This window comes from Homo sapiens, chromosome 12 (assembly GCF_000001405.40).
Source record: "Homo sapiens chromosome 12, GRCh38.p14 Primary Assembly".
NCBI classification, from domain to species: Eukaryota; Metazoa; Chordata; class Mammalia; order Primates; family Hominidae; genus Homo; species Homo sapiens.
Genome location: NC_000012.12, coordinates 116,990,670 through 117,008,851, shown reverse-complemented (window position 1 = coordinate 117,008,851; position 18,182 = coordinate 116,990,670). Strand labels below are relative to the sequence as shown.

The following is an 18,182-nucleotide window of genomic DNA, read 5'->3' as shown; positions in this document are numbered from 1 at the left end:
TGAGATTACAGGCATGAGCCAGCACGCCTGGCCTCAGCCAAAGGTTTTAATAGTAGTATTTTGTAGAAAGATTTCTCCTCTCAGCACACACATGAGAGTGATGTGCGTTTCTTCTTGTCAGCCTATACATTTATCACTTACCACGATACAGATTTTTACTTTAGTATTGAGAAGTTAATAATAAATTAAATATTCTCTACCTTGAAAATAATCAATCCTGTCAACATACATTTCTAACAAGTGAATCTTTCTTTGGAAGTTTCTAATGGTCAAAACAACACTATAATATTAACTATTGCTAACAGCATCTGGAAGGAAGAAGGACAATTTCAAAATTTAAAATGCCCTCTTAATCCATAAAGACTACAGAGAACAATTGCAGTTGAAAAGAAAAATTTCTGACGCAGAACATTTCAACAATTTTAAAATATCAAGAGTAAATTTATTCTTCCAAGTAAGTATATAGAAATAACCAAATCTCTTATCATCAGAGAATAACCTAAAAATTATATAAAATCGGCACCTGGAGGGAGAAAATAAAAAGAGCAACCTCACGTTCTATTATAAAAGTAGTATTCTGCATCCACTTTCAAGTGTTCTCTTGTTTTTAAAATACTCCAACTTCTGCAGCAGGAAGGTAAGGCCTTTAAGTCGGTAGAATGTTGATGGTAAATCTAAGAACTGAAATCTGATACTGAGTAGGTCCATGTGTCTTTATGTCTTCCAGTTGTTCTTTTTTGACAAGTGGATAAATTATTTCTTAGTGATATAGTGAGATGTAATCCCTTTCCAAAAAGACTCTCTGCAAATTCATCATAAAGACATCTAAGTTAGTAGTCCAGAGTCCAGTATTTTCTAAAATGTTTAATAATTCAAACGAATCCGAACTATCTGAAGAGTACCTTTACCATGACGTTTAGTTAAAGACCACAGAGATTAGAAAACACATTACCCATCTCAAAGGCAGTTCTTTCCACGTTACGAGTCCCTTAACGACCTTTACCATTTCTCCCTCCCTCCCACGCACTCTCTCTCTTTTAATAAGGTTGAGCAAATGGGACTTCATTTTATCTGATTGCCATAGACTAGTGAGATTAATTATTCATGCTCACACTCTCCCTCTTGTTAAGACCATGCATTAGACTAATTTTTCTCTTTATTGCCCTAGTTGGGTGAGTCTCAACCCATGACCACTTGACTCATTCTCAGAGGTGTACAGATATGCTGGAAAAACCTACCCCAGCACAAATCCCGGAGAAAATATTCTGCACTAATGCAGCTGCCAAAGATGATGTTGAGGATGGTTCCTTTTAAGTACCAGGTATATATTAGAGAAGCACTTGAACAGTAATTACAGAGCAAATTTTTGCAGGCAATAGATGTTTCTGTAAGAATTAGCTAAAACAGCTAAACCATGTTGAGGCTGGTTGTGTGTTTTACAATGGTAACTATAGGAAATGCATGACACAGAGAAGAATTTTTCCTCCTCTTTGGCTTGCAGGTAGACCTAGAAGGCAATGGGGGAAAAGCAAGCACTATCTTTAAAAAGAACTCTAGCAGAAAGTTCTCTATTCATCTGTTTTTTTTTTTCTTAGAGATCTTAAAGTATTTCCATAAATCCTGGTCTTAGAATCTTAACTTGCAATTTTGTCAATGATTCTGATGTATCTGAAATCTATTTCTAAAAATCTTTTTCTGATTTCAAATATGATACATCTTACAACAAATTCTAACATAATAGAATTCTATAAAGGAAGTGGTAGCCCTCTGTATATTCATCTCTCACAAATCACCACTTTTAACAGTTTGATATATATACTTTGACTTTTCTTCTGCACATCTGCCTCTGTGTGTATACACATTTTTTTCCTAAATGGGATTATTTCACAACTCCTTTTCCCTACGTGTCAATACCTATAGATAGATCTTGTTCTTTTTAATGGTTGTGTAGAATTTCTCTGTGGATACACAACTCCATATGGATTGTTTATAATTTTTAGATAAAATAAATAATGCTGTGATTCATTCAAGAGCTGGCCAACAGATATTTATCAATCATCTTCTAGGCACTGGAATGAACGTGCAGGGACGCTGGGTGACATGCAGAAGTCCCAGCCTGCTGCCAGCTGACAGAGCCCACCTCTTCCCCAGCTGGGGCCTGACCGTCAGCTGTCCTGCTCCTCCATAGACGGGGCCTGCCTCTCTGAGGAGACCCACCGATCATCTTCTAGCCATGTCCTGGCAGCTGGTGTCCTAAGCAGCAGGGGCGGTGGTCCAGAGTCAGGAAGGAGACACCAGCTACAGGCCCAACAACTGGGAGGCATCAGCCACCGCCGTGGGCAGGCGGGCCCCGCAGCATCCAGGTGTGGCCTGGACTGGCTTTCCAGGCAAACTGTGAAGGAAAGAGCTGAGAGATGGCTCTTGTCCCTGTGGGGGTGGGAGGCGGGGTGAGCTCAAGGCAGACCAACTTCTTCCTTCACCCAGTAAGAAATGGATTAACACTGCAAGCTCTTCCTAAATTGGGGGCTATCACCCTCATAATTAATCATGAACCACTTGCATACTGAAATCACTGTGAAGAGATGATAGAGCCTTACCCTCTCAGAATTTTGGTCCTATACTGATGAATGAGGAAAGGAACTCTGTGTTTTAATTTTACCAAAATACTGAGTCTTCATACTCAAATACCTGCTACAGGCATTAAACCACCACCAGGCATTAAGCCACCCCAGCAGCTGGCTCAGCTCCCCAGAAGCCCAGCACTGTCTGTCCAGAGAGCCCAGGAGGAGTCGGAAGGCTTCCTTACAAGACAATAGCATTTTAAAAGCTTTTTCAATTGAAGATGATTTGTTGGCCGCCATTTAAAAAAGGGCAGTGGCAAAGAGAGCCAAAGGTTAGGAGGTGCTGTGCTGGGCTGAGTGGAGTATAAGAGAAGAGGCACGAGAGGAAGATGTGACTACACTTCCTGAAGATGATACCATCTACCCACTTTCTTTTCTGATCCCTAGTAACCTGCCTCACATATGTGGCTCTTGGCTCTTCTGAACAGGGAAGTTGTGATCAGAGGCCAGATGCTGGGCAGTGAGGCAGTTAAACCGCCTGCTCTCTTCTTTTCCGTCCACTCCAGCTGCCTTTGTGCTCTCTTCTCCATGATGTCCTTGGCACATAGTGCCCATTCCCCTGGTCAGTGCTGACAGTCCTTGCTGTCTGCACGCATCACGTGGTGTTTCGACAAGGTCACCCTGACCTGTGTCTTATCTTCTTCCGGCTCTTCCCCAGATCTGTGGTTCTCAGATACTGGAGGGGAGGAGGCGGTGACTCCAGCAGGTCAGGGGAGGCTCTGCAGCACTATTACCAAGCACCACACCGCATCACACTACACGTTGTAACACTCTCCTAGGTTTCAACTCTAAGGTTCCTAACTCTAAGGTTCCTGGGGACAGAGATCCTATCATTCATTCATTCATGTGGCAATTATTAAAGGGCAGTACATGCCAGGTACAGTGTCAGTTACACATTCCCGCATCTCACTAAGTGCCTGCATTTGTGTTTGGAGGCTCACTGATTGGTACACGATGCCAGGCAAATCCAGAGCTTCCTATAGTCTCAGACCCCAAAGATACTCAGATGTTGCTTTTAGTGCTTTAACACCTTCCTCCACTCCTGGATCTTGCTGCTGGTATGTACAAAGGAACTGCTCCATCCTACCCAAAACAGAAGATGGTTCCACAGAGATCTCTTCATACTATTCAGATGCCAGAGTGCCCCAACTACATCCAGTCCGACAGTCCCACCTCTGACAACATGGCAGACAAGAATGTCTGGAAAACCTTGCCATTTACAAACAGTGACCATGCTGGATAAGACTCAGCCTATCATCAAACAGTCCTTCAGACATTCTGTTTAATAAGCAATCAGAGAAATTCACAGGAGCCCAAAATGGAGACAGCATGAAACCCAGATGAAGAGAGCACGAAACCCAGGAAGTTAAGAGAGCATTCAAGCCAGGGGCTAGTTTGGACCCTCCCTCCAGTGTCAGGAGCCTGGAGAGCTGGGGAAACAGGAGAGCTGGGGAAACAGGAGACCAAGCATCTGCCCAGCATGAAGTAGAACCTACAGTTGGGTCCCTGCAGGGCTACATACATTCAGTAAAAAGCAAGCAAGATGGGGAAAGTATCTATTGGTGCAGAGAGCTTACCCAGAAACGTGTCTGCCTCAGGTTCAGTTCGGGGTGGAAAACAGTCTGAAGTCACATGTCTGCCCCCACACAAGTTCTGGGTTTGAGTTTACACCACCTGCAAGGCTAAAAGAATCCAAGCCTAATAAAGTATTTTCGGGTTGGTAACATACCTCCCAGTACCTTGGCAGAATCTTCTCAGGAGGGAAACAATTTCAACTCAGGCCCCTTTAAGAAACCTACAAATCAAGATCAACTGAGTATTAGCTCACAATTTAAAAAATCCAAATACAGCAAGAAGTGATATATCATATGTGAGACAGAAAAACAAGGAGAATTAGACTTCCAGGCAAGATCAAATAAAGAATACAAAATAAGCATGCTGAAAATGTTTACAGATAAAAGAGGGAGAGGATAAAAAGTAGGAAATCGGATTAAGCAGATTTGAAAAATAAAGCAGAGAATTTCTAGAAATTAAAAAGTCAATGGATGAGATAAGCAAGAAATAAGTCCGAGAGAGAAACTGTGGACTGGAATACCGAGTTGAGGAATTGGGCGGAATGCAACAGACAGAGAGATGGGAAATCTGAATGGGCAGTGAGCAGCACGGAGGAGGGGAGAAGCTGCCTTCATGCACACCTCCCCTGAGCTCCACGCAGAGCATCGCGATACATTTCCAGTAAGATAAGGGCCAAGAATTCTCTACAACTGAAAGGAGGGACACACAAGAAATCCCAGACAGTATAAAAATAAATAAATAAATCCCAGACATACAAAGAGACATTGGCATGAAACCACAGAAAATTAAAGACAAGGAGAAGATCTTAAAAGCAGTCAAAAGGAGAGAAAGTCCTAAAAGAGAATGACAGACTGACAGCCAACTCGTCAGTAGTGTCAGTGGAAGGCAAAACCAGTCATATCCTCAAAGGCTGAGCAAAAATAACTGTCAAGCTAGAACTGTAAAAGACTAGCAAAACTACCTTTCAAGGATAAGGATGAAATGAAGGTGCTGTAAGAAAGAAACACGGAAAACACTTGTGACCAAGTCCTTATGAAAGAAACTTCTAAAGAATGCACTTTTGGGAGACAGAAAATCATTCCAGAAAAAAGGTCTGAGGTGCTGGAAGAAATAGTCAACAAAGATTCAAGTAATGAGCATAAAAGAATCCAGATGCTGTCTGCAAAAACAATGTTGATTTGGGGGTTAAATACATAGAATAATCTGTACCTAGTCTTTATTCCAACCAGTCAAATGCCATGAATCAGGAAAAAGTACCATAACCATGGAAGATGCCAGATGCCCAGGGTGCGCCCCCCGCACTGTCTGGAAGGAACAGAAGCTCCTTTGGATACCTGTGCAGTGTTTGGCACATAGGAGGGGCTCAGTATACAGGTGATGAAAGAATGAGCAGATGAATACACACTGTACATGTCTGCGTGTATCTACCCCTTACAGGCGACTGCTATGCTGGCCTTACAGTAAAGACAGGCTTCACGCATACAAATGAACACACAAAGTCGATTTGCTGTCCACCAACTGCAATGTATACAGCTGTTTGCTAAGTGCCAGGTACACTTTTATTCAGTACAGATCTTCACATACAAGACTAGTGATGCTCCTTTTTAAAAAACAAAAGATACAAAAGAAAAAGTCCTATACATCTTCATGGTAGAATTTACTCACATAAACGACCCACATTGCTATTCTGACCCAACAAAAGTAAGATCCACAGAAACGTGGAATTGAACTACAAAAATGCAAGGTGTGCCTATCAACGTTCATGCACAAAGCTAGGTGAACAGTCTCTATAAATTCACAGATGAGCTAAGACTTTAAAAAAACAGGAATGAGAAAGATAGACAACTGGGGAGAGGGGGAGCCAGTGACAAAAGAGTAAATCATACACAAAACAGCCAATAAAAAAATAAAAATGCAGTTAATATACATGAATAATGGATGTCTGATTTAAAAGCAGTTTACTCCGATATGATGTAATTTTTGACAATCAGCCAGAGAGACTATTTTGTAAGTCCTTGCCAGAGATAAGTCATAGCGTGAGGCTTGGTAACACGGCCGTATCTGTGAACATGTGGAAAATGACTTTCACCACCATCCCAAAGGTGACTTTCTGTTGGCAAACAGAAGCTTGCCTTTCAGGTGCACTTCGCAGCAGCAACCGGCAAGATGCAAATCTTGAAGAAATGGATCCCTGACCCCCTCAACGTTCCCTGCAACATGGCACCCCTTAACAGTCTCCACGACATGCTTCTGGCACCGTCCATGCTCAAATTCAGCACAAAGGGAGAAGCAGCCTGAGCCGCTTTCATGTTTAAGTTTTAATTGGAGTGACAAGCCCACGAGGCCAAGATATTTCAGGGATGGGACGGTGTTGCTGAGCGTCGCCAGGCGCTGGGTAGGCAAGGCCTGTGTGCGCTCCCCACCACCACGTGCCAATGCACCTGCAACCCCCGCTGTTCCAGGACTGGACTCTTCCCGGGCAGGCAGTGCCAACTGCTGCGGGCTGTGCCAAACATGGGGGCTTTGTGATGTGGGCAGATGTCTACAAAGGACCGGAGTGAGGCCAAACCAACACCTATTGTGACCTAAGCCTGAAAGGAACCCACAGAGCAAGAGTACACTCGGGTACAAATCCAGGCAAAAACCATCCAAACCGGCCAATCTCTCTCTCTCAGCACGTCCGTAGGTGCTGGGAATAATAAAGGAAGGCCAGGCCTACTTTGTGGAGTGAGCAGAATATGGTTCTCTCTTTGCTTTGGGATCATTTTTGTCTCAGTGCTGGTGTAAGGGTAAGAAATGTGATCATGAAGACCTGGTTAATGCTCACATAACACAAACAGGGAATATTCATGTCAGAGCAGTGAGTCCAGCGAAGAGATGATAACCATCGTGCAAATGTATGACTGACTGGGAGCTGAAAATCCTTACACCCTCCTTCATGCTCCCAACAGGCCTCATCCCCACAGAGAGCATGGGCAGTGTCAAAATGCCAGGAACACTGACACACGGAAATAATCACCAAGAGAAGGTTATAATATCTATCTTACGGAGTGAAAACTGAGGCTGCAAACTATGAAGTGAACTCTTTAAAATTAAAGGCAACTTGCATACTATTTTGAAAATGAAAAGGTTACCATGAGATGCTCATAATGTACAAGTATCTGTATGCCGACAGGACTTAGTGAACATTGCACATGAAATTCAGTATATTACACTAGCTTGGTTATCGATTTTCTTTTGACTAGCCTGGCAACTTCTAGTTTGGCCCAAAGTTAGACTGGACAAAAGCTTCTAGAAGAGGGCAGGCAGGCAGCTAAAATCAGATCACTGAAACAAATAGCCCCAGGGGGAGACTGGGAAGCCGCAGCGAATAATCAGGGCCTTTGGTGGAGGGCAGCAGGTCCACCCAGGGGCTCCCCCCAGCTCCCTAAGGCATAACGGCCTCTACTCACTCTACATGGTGCATGAGGTATTGGCAGAGACATGCTTAGCAGCATTTTGCACATAAACAAACACTACACATATGAGCTCTTTGTAATACCCAGGACATGCCTTTCACACAAATTCCTTCGGAATATCCTTCCATTTGAATCTCACAACCACCAAGAGGGAGAGAAGACAAATACTACTGCCTACATTTTGTGCATCAAGAAACTGAGGCTTAAATAATTTTAAGTAGCTTGCCCCAAATTACATGGGCAACAAAAGGAGCTGAGGTGGCACTAGGTGGAGCGCAGCTCGTGTCATTCCTGCGCCACTTTGTGACCATATCACAATGTCTTTCCTGTCCTACCAAAATAGTTATTAATAACAGCTAATATTTATAATATTCTCTTACATGCAAAACACTGCTATGATGCGTTATCTCACCTGACCTCCACAGTGCTGTAAGATAGGTACCATGATTTTACTCCCTTTACACAGGAGAATATGGGGCCCTAAGGAGCTCAAACCTCTTGCCCAGTTAGGAAGTTTTGGCACCAGGATTCAAACCTGGGTGGGTGGTATCAAAGCTCATACTCTTTAAACCTCTACCCCAGGGTGCTCAAAGTGTGGTCCCAGGACTAGCAGCCTCCGCTGCTCTGGGCACTTGTTAGACATGCAAATTCTCAGGCCCCACCCTCGACCCACTGAGTCGGAAGCTCCGGGGGTGGGGCCAGTGCTCAGTGTTTTCATCAGGTCTCCTGTAGATTCTGATGCATGCTGGCATGTGAGAACCCCTGTGCTCTACCTATACTGCCTTTCAGGCTAACGAAGAACTTCAGCCATGACAGTGGTAAGTATTACTCAGCTATCAGTGCTTACTTCCTGCTTCCAAATTGCTGCCAATCTGGGGAGGCAATAGTGCTGGGCGGTGCCGGTATGAAAATATGAGATGCAGGCTGGGTGCGGTGGCTCACGCCTGTAATCCCAGCACTTTGGGAGGCCGAGGTGGGCGGATCATGAGGTCAGGAGATAGAGACCATCCTGGCTAACACGGTGAAACCACGTCTCTACTAAAAATACAAAAGGCAGGCGTGGTGGCGGGCGCCTGTAGTCCCAGCTACTCGGGAGGCTGAGGCAGGAGAATGGCGAGAACCCGGGAGGCGGAGCTTGCAGTGAGCAGAGATCGCGCCACTGCGCTCCAGCCTGGGAGACAGCGAGACTCCGTCTCAAAAAAAAAAAAAAAAAAAATGAGATGCAGACCCTGTGTTCTGTACAAGCTCAGGGCCAGAGCTCTGATGCTCAATGAGAGGCAGATAGTTTGTAAGGCTGCTTCTGTTAAGTAGGACTGTTTTTCAAAAGGACATGGCAAGACAGGAGAGGAAGAGGGGATGCTAGTGCCAGTCCCCGGTCAGGAATGAATGTGGCACATTGAGGATGGCGCTGGCCTGGCTGGAGCAGGGGTCTCATTCTGGAAGCACAGGACTAGAGAGCTAGGAGCTAAGATGGGGCCTGACTCCCCACAGTCTAGAAGGCCAGGCTGAAGATGGGCACCGGGGCCTTACCCATGCTCCTCGCCACGCAGCCAGTGCTCTGAGAAAACCTGAAGTGGACCGTGAGGAGGGGCACTGACAGGTGGACAGGTGCCACAAGAGTATAAAGGTGGGGAAAGGGCAGGGGCGAGCCAGGAAGGGGAAATGCGCTCGGGGAGGGATTATTTTCATGTCATTTTCAACATACTTTTAAAACTTGTGATCATGAGATCACAGTAAGAGTTCAAACCCAAGCAAACAGCAGAGTGCAAAGAAGCCACCCGGGCCAGATGGCCTAACCCTGCAAAGACCCAAAGAAATCTGGATGAGGAATTCAGTTTGGGGCCAGTCGGTCATCCCACGTCCCTGGCACAGTTCTCCTGCAGCAGAGGCAAGCTAAGGCTGGAAGCCAGGTCCAGCAGAGCAGCTCTCTGGACACAGCCCACTTCCTCATTTTAATGCACCTTCAGCCTCATGGCTCTTCCTGAGTCCCTTAGTTTGGGATGCGACCGCTCAGATGTGGGCTGAGCAGGAGTTTTCCTTTGCTCTCTACAAAGGGGATTTACCCTGTAAATTAATAACACATCGAGGGAATGCTTTAAAGAGTAACTTTGCGTCCATTAGAAGGATTCATCTGCAACTCAGTAATTGATAAGTTAATTACAAACCCACTCTCTAACACAGTGCCCTATAGAAGACTGAAGTGCGGAGGAAATTAATAAATCATAGTCATCTATGTACTGAATAAAAAGTGAAAGTTCTCTACTTGGTAATATTTTGTGAGTCTAAGCTGCGATGTGTATTTTGAAAACAGTAAAATGTTTTAAATATTCAGAAATTCAACTCACATAGGCCATTTGCTGAGTGCCCTCTTGCTCCTACTCTGCCCCAAACCAGCATCAGTCTCAACTGTCTGGACATGCAGGGGAAGCACACAGCCTCTTCTGCAGCACTAGTGTTTTCGTGTTTTCACCTCTGGAACAAAGGCAAACATTTCTAATAGGGCTCCCTTAGCTCCCCATGAACTGGAGAACGAGCTGATTTTTAACACTAACAATGCCTGGGCAGTGTTTACTCCCAGGCTTATTTGGCACAAACAAACCAAAGCCATACACATCTGTGAAGGTGAAATAAATGGAGTTAGCGCTAAGTTCATTCTCTTCCATGGTATAGGATGGTAAACCAGGAAGGCAATTCCACATAAACCATCAGGGAAGAAAAACCAGCCTCTAAATAACATTCTAAGCTTAATTTGAAAGCCAAAAGACAAGAAAGGCAATGAACATGATATTCTTCAATCTAAATGGTTCTGTAAACTTAGAGTCTCAAGAAGACTGAATAATTCCTTTAAAAATTAGAAAATGGTACAGATGTTATTGGCATACAGGAACTAGGCAAGTGTGAATAAAGACAAAAGACATTTAAGACTTGGTGCCAGCCCTCTCCAATAAGGCTTCGCATCTTGAAGGGTTTCATATGAAGTGACAGCATTCACATTAGCTTATTCCATTAGTTCTGCATGGAAGCTAAATTGACCTGTCCCATTCTACCATAAATGCATTCTTTTAAAACAATTCTTGGGGGCCAGGCGCGGTGGCTCACACCTGTAATCCCAGCACTTTGGGAGGCTAAGGAAGGCGGATCACCTGAAGTCAGGAGTTCAAGACCAGCCTGGCCAACATGTAGTGAAACCCTGTCTCTACTAAAAAATATAAAAATTAGCTAGGCATGGTGGCACACGCCTGTAGTCCCAGCTACTGGGGAAGCTGAGGCAGGAGAATTGCTTGAACCCGAGAGGCAGAGGTTGTAGTGAGCTGAGATGGCGCCACTGCACTCTGGCCTGGGTGATAGAATGAGATTCCATCTCTCAAAAAAACAAAACAACAACAACAAAAACAATTCTTGGGAAAGTGAATCCTGTGAAGCAGCATGGGCCGCTATACCTACAGGTATGGTTTCAGCAGGGCTCCTGCAGCAGCCCAGGGCTGCTGGTGCTCCTGCAGGCCTGAATATACCTGGTGCTGCTTCCAGCCGATGGAACCCCCTTCCACAGGCCCTGCTGCCTCTGCTTGGACTGCTCTCTCCCAGGCTTTGCCTGATGAACTCCAACCTGACCCCAAAGCTGGGGGACCGGGGGTGAAGGAGGCACCTAACAAGTGCTGAGCACCAGCCACATACAAAGGACATTACCTTTCTCGGGTATTAGCTCCAGTATCCACATGGGGATGCCAAAGCAAGTGACTTGCCTAAGGTTTACCTGACTGCAGAACCCTTGCTCAGTCTCCAGTGGTGACACAACTGCTATCTTGACTATAGCTGAAAGGAACTTTCCCCTATATTTACATTCTGTAACTTTATCACTCCCTTCCAGGATCCCTAGAGATCCTAAAGATCATGGCTTCTGTAATAAGATGCAATATTCCAAACGACACTTTTCACAGAATAACCCATCAGTTGTACAGAGTATCAGAGATGGTCCAGTCCTCAAAAGCATCTAAGCCAGAGGTTTCTCGCTCTGTCTTGAGAAACTCTAGGGCTCTGTGGAGGTGCTACAGGGTTTTCACAAGTGAGAAGAACTGTATTTATTATTTATTATTAACCATATACTAACAATTATATCAACTATGGATACTATTTTAATATTAAACATGTACAAAATGCATTTGAATGTTCATTCCTCATTTATTTATCTACATGATTTTCTATCAGTCTGGAATTCACCAAGTTCATCACGAAGGTCTTGTTATGACCTCGTTTCCATCTCAACACGCCTCCTTTACATCGCCAAGTCGCTGTTAAGGACCACAAGGCTGTAATCCCTGAGGCAGATGTGATATTTGACTCATCTCTATGTTTCCAGTGCCAATCAGATATTGCACACGCAGCATGTGTTCAATAAGCATTCATTAACAATGACGGCAACCCTCACAACAACAATGGACCCTTTGGGAGTCAGCATCACTCAACAGCCCAGAAAACTGGTCTCCACGAGTTATCTGTCTACACTTCTCCAGGAAGCAGATAAATATTAAAAACATTAAAGGTTTAAGGTAAAAATGAAAATGAAATTAGACATTTACTTTGTGAACTTTCAATTTTTTTCATTTAAAATTTTTAAATGGAAAGTTCACAAAGCAAATATCTAATTTCATTTTCATCCTGCTTGTAAAATACCAAGTTTTTTTTTTGTTCTCTGGACTAGAATATGGAACAAAAGGAAAGATGGATTTCCTGTTCGGGTGGAGGTATGGGAGAATGTGGCCACAATCTATGCGCACTGCATTTCTGATTCCTAAGGCTCTCCCAGACAGATATTTCAACTCGTGATGAGTGTGAGCAACCAATCCAGAGTCTCTTCACGTCCGTGTATGGGGAATAATTATCATAAGAGACGTTAGCAATGATTTTCCAGCGTGATGTAAGCTGAGGCAGCAGCGCCAAGCAAGCGTCCTTGTCACACGCATTCCAGCCTCCTGGATTACTTCACTCACAGCTCCCTGATTAGGATGCACGCCGTGTGCCGCTTAATACAATCTGCCATCAAATGCCAAGTACTTCAGACCTAAATTAGGAAATATGTCCAAATACATAGAATGATGCTAAGAGCCCTAAGTGGATCTCTCTCTTCCTTTATGAGGCCTGGGGCTCGTCATCAACCTAATGCTCTTAAACAAGGCAATTCGGTCTTCTAACCCTCCACCTCTGAGAGCAGAATTTAATTCAGGCAGCAAAAGAATTAATAAAGATTATATGGTATCATAAATATGTGTCCATGGATGAAAGTATTTTTGATAGATTTCAGGAACTATGAGACATAAAAGCAGATTTTAAAGGGCTGCTTGGGCACGAAGGCTACATTAACAGCGTTCACACTGACTTTTGCACCACAGCATGACAAGAGATGAGGCCAGAGGAATTACTTTTACCTTTGTTTTCTTTTACAATCATATACCACTTAGCAGTGACTACCTGTGAGGTCCTGTATGTCACTGAAGTCTGAGAACCCAAGAATGCAACATCAGAACCTAAGAATCCAATTTAATTTAAGAATTCATTTTTGTCCAAAAGTAAAAAACCATCAAGCAGCCCTTCTTCCTACATACAGCTTACAAGGCAAGACGTAGGAACTGAGGAAAAAAATACCAAACATTTCCTGCCCAATACTTTCTGCCAGCAATAGGCACAGCTGTTAGGAACTCTTGGGCGACACTTAGAGAAGAAGTGATAGAATAATGGATTCCTCGGCCCATTTCAGAAGCCCTCAGCAACTCAGCATCCTCCAGTGGACTGGCTCAACACAACTCCACAGCCAAAAGGTTTAAACCACCTACATGGCTTAAAGAATCCAGGGTTTGGGACAGGAGCCCAAAGGTCATGTGTTCAACCCTCCTCATTTTACAGAAGAGAAGAGGCAGGTCAGATTAAAAGAATTGTGGGCTCTTCCTCAAATGGGTCCCAGATAAGCCCAGAAGGGGAGCATGTCCGCGTACGCTGCCGATCTTTCTTGCCACCACGACACTGGCCGGATAGGGCTGTCAGTCATGCTACACTGATTCTAGATGAAGTCATGTGTTCTAGTCATTCACTCTAAAAGCAGAGAGCTGAAAAATAATTTAAATGAAGGGCAGGACCAGTCAGATCTCTGTATATCCCCGCTGGCCTCATCTTGTGATCTTTCTGTAAAGCCTATCAGAGAAAAGCCGTCCAAGAACCACTAGGGGAAGGGGATGCCCTGCCATCCACCACTGCCCAAGGTACAACTTCTGTGGAGGGCAATGTCTATCAAAATCATGGAGGCACATGTCCCTTTGACCCAGCAAGTCTACTTGGAGGAAATGATCCTACAAATACATTCATGTGGACCAAGTGTTGTTTACAATAGCAAAACACCAGGAGCAATCTAGCATCCATCCGTAGGGAGCCAGCAAATTAATTAAAGCACATCCACAAAGTGTAATATTATAAAGTTGCAAAAATCAAAACCAAAACATGAAAAAGTTCTTTGTTATGTCATAGAAATGATCTCCAAGTGATTCTGCTGCAGGAAAAAGCAAGCTGCAGACAAAAATGTAGCACTTTACTATTCTCATTGTTTAAAGTGGGGTTGAGACCACATATGGTAATTTGATTATAAGTGCATAAACTATCTTAGGAAGAATGCACAAAAAACTGGCAACATTGGTTTGGCTCCAGATAGAGAAACTGGGTGGCAGGTTGGAGGGAGTGGGAAGGAGTCCTCCCACCACATACCCTTCCTTCCTATCTTTTGATCCCTGAATTAGGTGAATGCATTACCCAGTCAAAAAATACATTTAGATGTTTAAAAATCTGTGTTCTCTTTTCTGTTCCATTGGTCTATGTATTTACTTTTACACCAGTACCATACTTTCACACCAGTACTATTCCATTGGTCTGCGTATCTACTTTTACACCAGTACCACTACATATCTACTTTTACACCAGTACTTTTACACCAGTACCATCTACTTTTATACCAGTACTGGTATCTACTTTTACACCAGTACCAATACATATCTACTTTTACCACCAGTACCATGCTGTTTTTATTACTATAGCCTTGTAGTATAATTTGAAGTCAGGTAATGGGATGCCTCTAGAGTTGTTCCTTTTGCTTAGGGTTGCTTTGGCTATTTGGGCTCTTTTTGGTTCCATATTAATTTTAGGATTGTTTTTAAAGATACACTGAGGACGGGACACCCAATTCAATAAATGGTGCTGGGAAAATTGGATAACCACATGTAGAAAAATAAAACTGGATCCCTTTCTCTCACCATATATAAAAATTAACCAAGACTTAAATCTAAGACTTGAAACCATAAAAATTATAGAAGAAAACTTAGGAAAGACTCTTCTGGACATTGGCCTAGGCAAATAATTTACGTCTAAAATCCCAAAAGCAAATGTAACAAAAACAAATAAATGACACCTAATTAAACTAAAAAGTTTCTGCACAGCAAAAGAAATAATCAACAGAGTAAACAGACAACCCACAGAATGGGAGAAAATATTTGCAAACTATATATCCAACAAAGGACTAATATCCAGAATCTACTACGAACTCAAATAAATCAGCAGAAAAAAAAGCCAAAACAAATAATCCCATTAAAAAGTGGGCAAATGACATGAACAGATATTTCTCAAAAGAATATATACAAATTGCCAACAAACGTAAGAAACAATGCTTAACATCACTAATCATCAGGGAAATGCAAATTAAAACCACAATAAGATACCACCTTATCCAGCCAGAAAGGCCATTATTAAAAAATCAAAAAACAGGCCGGGTGCGGTGGCCCACACCTGTAATCCCAGCACTTTGAGAAGCCAAGGCAGGCAGATCACGAGGTCAGGAGTTCGAGACCAGCCTGGCCAACATGGTGAAACTTCGTCTCTACTAAAAATACAAAAATTAGCCAGGCGTGGTGGCACGTGCCTGTAATCCCAGCTACTCGGGAGGCTAAGGCTGGAGAACTGCTTGAACCCGCTCAGTGGATGTTGCAGTGAGCCGAGATCACACCACTGCAATCCAGCCTGGGCGACAGAGCAAGACGTCATCTCAAAAAAAAAAAAAAAAAAAAAAAGTCAAAAATCAATAGATGTTGGTATGGATGTTGTGAAATGGGAATGCTTATACATTGCTGGTGGAAATGTAAACTAGCACAATCTCTATGGAAAACAGTATGGAGATTTCTCAGATAACTAAAAGCAGATCTGCCATTTGATCCAGCAATCCCACTACTGGATATCTACCCAAAAGAAAAGAAGTCACTGTATAAAAAAGACACCTGTACACATATGTTTATTGCAGGACAAATCACAACTGCAAAGATAAGAAACCAACCTAAGTGCCATCAACCAATGAGTAGATACAGAAAATGTGATACACACACACACACACACACACACACACACACACACCATGGAATAATACTCAACCATAAAAAGGAATGAAATGTCCTTTGTAGCAACTTGGGTGGAACTGGAGGCCATTATCCTAAGTGAAGTAACTCAAGAATGGAAAACTAAATACAGCATGTTCTCACTTATAAGTGGGAGCTAAGCTATGGGTATGCAGAGGCACAGAGTGGTATTGGAGGACCCTAGAGACTCAGAAGGGTACTGGGTACAATGTATACTATTTGGGTGACAGGTACACTAAAAGCACAAGCTTCCCCACTATACAGTTCATCCATGTAACCAAAAACCATTTCTACCCCTCTAAAGCTACTGAAATAGAACGAATTAAAAAAAAAACAAAACTCTGATCTTCAAAAAAAAAAGGGCAAAAATACATAGTTGCTATTTTTTTCTATGACTTTACGTGGCCCATAACACTGCTGGCAAACCCAGGTGTGGCCCCTAACTCTGATGTCTGAAACCCAAGTCTGGGAGCCCCTGCCCAACAAGCAAATCAAGATGTTTCAGGGCCCAGACTGTCTGATCCCTTCCTACCCGAGCTGGAGGTGACTGATCAGCCAGCTACATTCAAAGACTTTTTTAAAAAAAAGATTAGACAGATAAGCTTTTGCTAAATTACTCGGCTTTGTTTCCTTAGAAAACTATGTTTATTAACAGAGCTAGGTTCCTTGACAAGCACCAGTTTGCTGAAATCTGTGTGTAATGCTGTTTTAACATGCCAATGCCAGGAACACTACTGGAGCTCAGTATTTGGGATGAATACACAATGGGTTGGCTAGCCAGATATAGGAATGGGTGGATTTGAGCCATTATTACTCCATGCTCATGCAGCTGAGGTGCCTGTAACATGCTAATGTGGGCATCATACGGTGTAAGAATATTCTCCAACTAAACAAAAATTACACCTCTGGAATACTTCAACAGGTTAGGGAGCTTTAAGTTTCTGACTAAAAGTCAATTTCAACATTTGGACCTCACTGTCTGCTTTTATCACAGTTAATCAATAATGGACTACAGCTAAATCCCAGTTTTGTATCAGGTACAAACAAATATAAACCAAATGCTCTGTTCTCATAAAACCTTCATCTGAATCCTAGATATACAGGCCAGAGGCACAGACACAAACCCTAGTGTGGATATAGCTCCAGGCAAACTCTACTGCTAATAGTCTCACACCAGCCTAATAAAACGTGCTGGGACACACGCTGCCACCAGGCTGAAGCACAGAGATGTTCAAGCATGGTATTCGCAAGCAAAGTGACACCAAGCCTCGCACATGAGACTATTTGGGAATTATGACATCACATTAGAGCACAGCAGGAGGATACTAAAATCTCACAGAGTTACCCATGACATGACTTAATTCACACAGAGCTGTTATATGACAATTACGTTTCTTAAAAATTCAAGTTTTTCTGAGGAAGCAGAAAATCCATTAAGCACAATCAGATGGAAAGTCTTGTCTCTGTAAAAATAAGCAAAGTTACATAGATGAAGCTTGGTATTCCTCTTACTTTTGAGTGGGTGGCATTCCTGTTGGAGAAACATCTCAACACAAAGTTATTACCAACACTACTAGCAAGCAGCCATTCACCCACATGAGTGTTTGGAGGGTTGGTGCTATGCTCACAAAATATGTGGATGACTAAATGCTACTGTCAGCTTCCAAAGAGACATTTAGAAACATTCTTGCAGCAAATTTATTTCCACTCCTAATTTTAAAACACCAGCGAAAACACCAGCTTACAGGACTATACTTTTTTTGTGTGTGTGTGGTAGAGACAGGGTCTCACTATGTTACCCAGGCTGGTCTCAAACTCCCAGCCTCAAGCCATCCTCCTGACTTGGCCTCCCAGAGTGCTGGGATTACAGATGTGAGCCACTGTGCCCAGCCAGGGACTATACATTTTTAACCAAGGATTTTTCACAAAATTAATGTGTTTATCAGCTGATTCTTACAGTTAATGCTTTTAGTTGAGTTGGAAATTTTGAGAGGAATCAAAAAAACCCCACTGCCTTACATCTGTATCTGAAGGATCCTTGTGCTGAACTGTCCCTTTAAGTAGTTTCTCAAATGTATCCATTACAACTG

The 18,182-nt window shown here is 43.1% G+C and overlaps 1 protein-coding gene across 8 annotated transcripts in view, besides 1 other annotated feature; it reads right to left on the bottom strand.

Annotated features, from left to right (window-relative positions):
- The window catches only part of FBXW8 (F-box and WD repeat domain containing 8), a 120,199-nt gene that overhangs the window by 22,297 nt on the left and 79,720 nt on the right, over window positions 1-18,182 (bottom strand). For 2 of the 8 annotated variants that reach the window (XR_001748654.1, XR_007063065.1), the window contains one exon: window positions 4,351-4,416. The exons of the other annotated variants lie outside the window; for them this stretch is intronic. The gene's annotated coding sequence lies outside the window, so the exon portion shown is untranslated. The remainder of the gene's footprint in view (window positions 1-4,350; window positions 4,417-18,182) is intronic. 8 annotated transcript variants of the gene reach the window in all.
- Window positions 2,311-2,833: an enhancer, noted in NCBI's record as "H3K27ac-H3K4me1 hESC enhancer chr12:117443824-117444346 (GRCh37/hg19 assembly coordinates)". NCBI's record gives its function as "activates a minimal SCP1, AML or CMV promoter by ChIP-STARR-seq in naive H9 embryonic stem cells {active_cell/tissue: H9 hESC(naive)}" and the evidence as "EXISTENCE:reporter gene assay evidence [ECO:0000049][PMID:30033119]".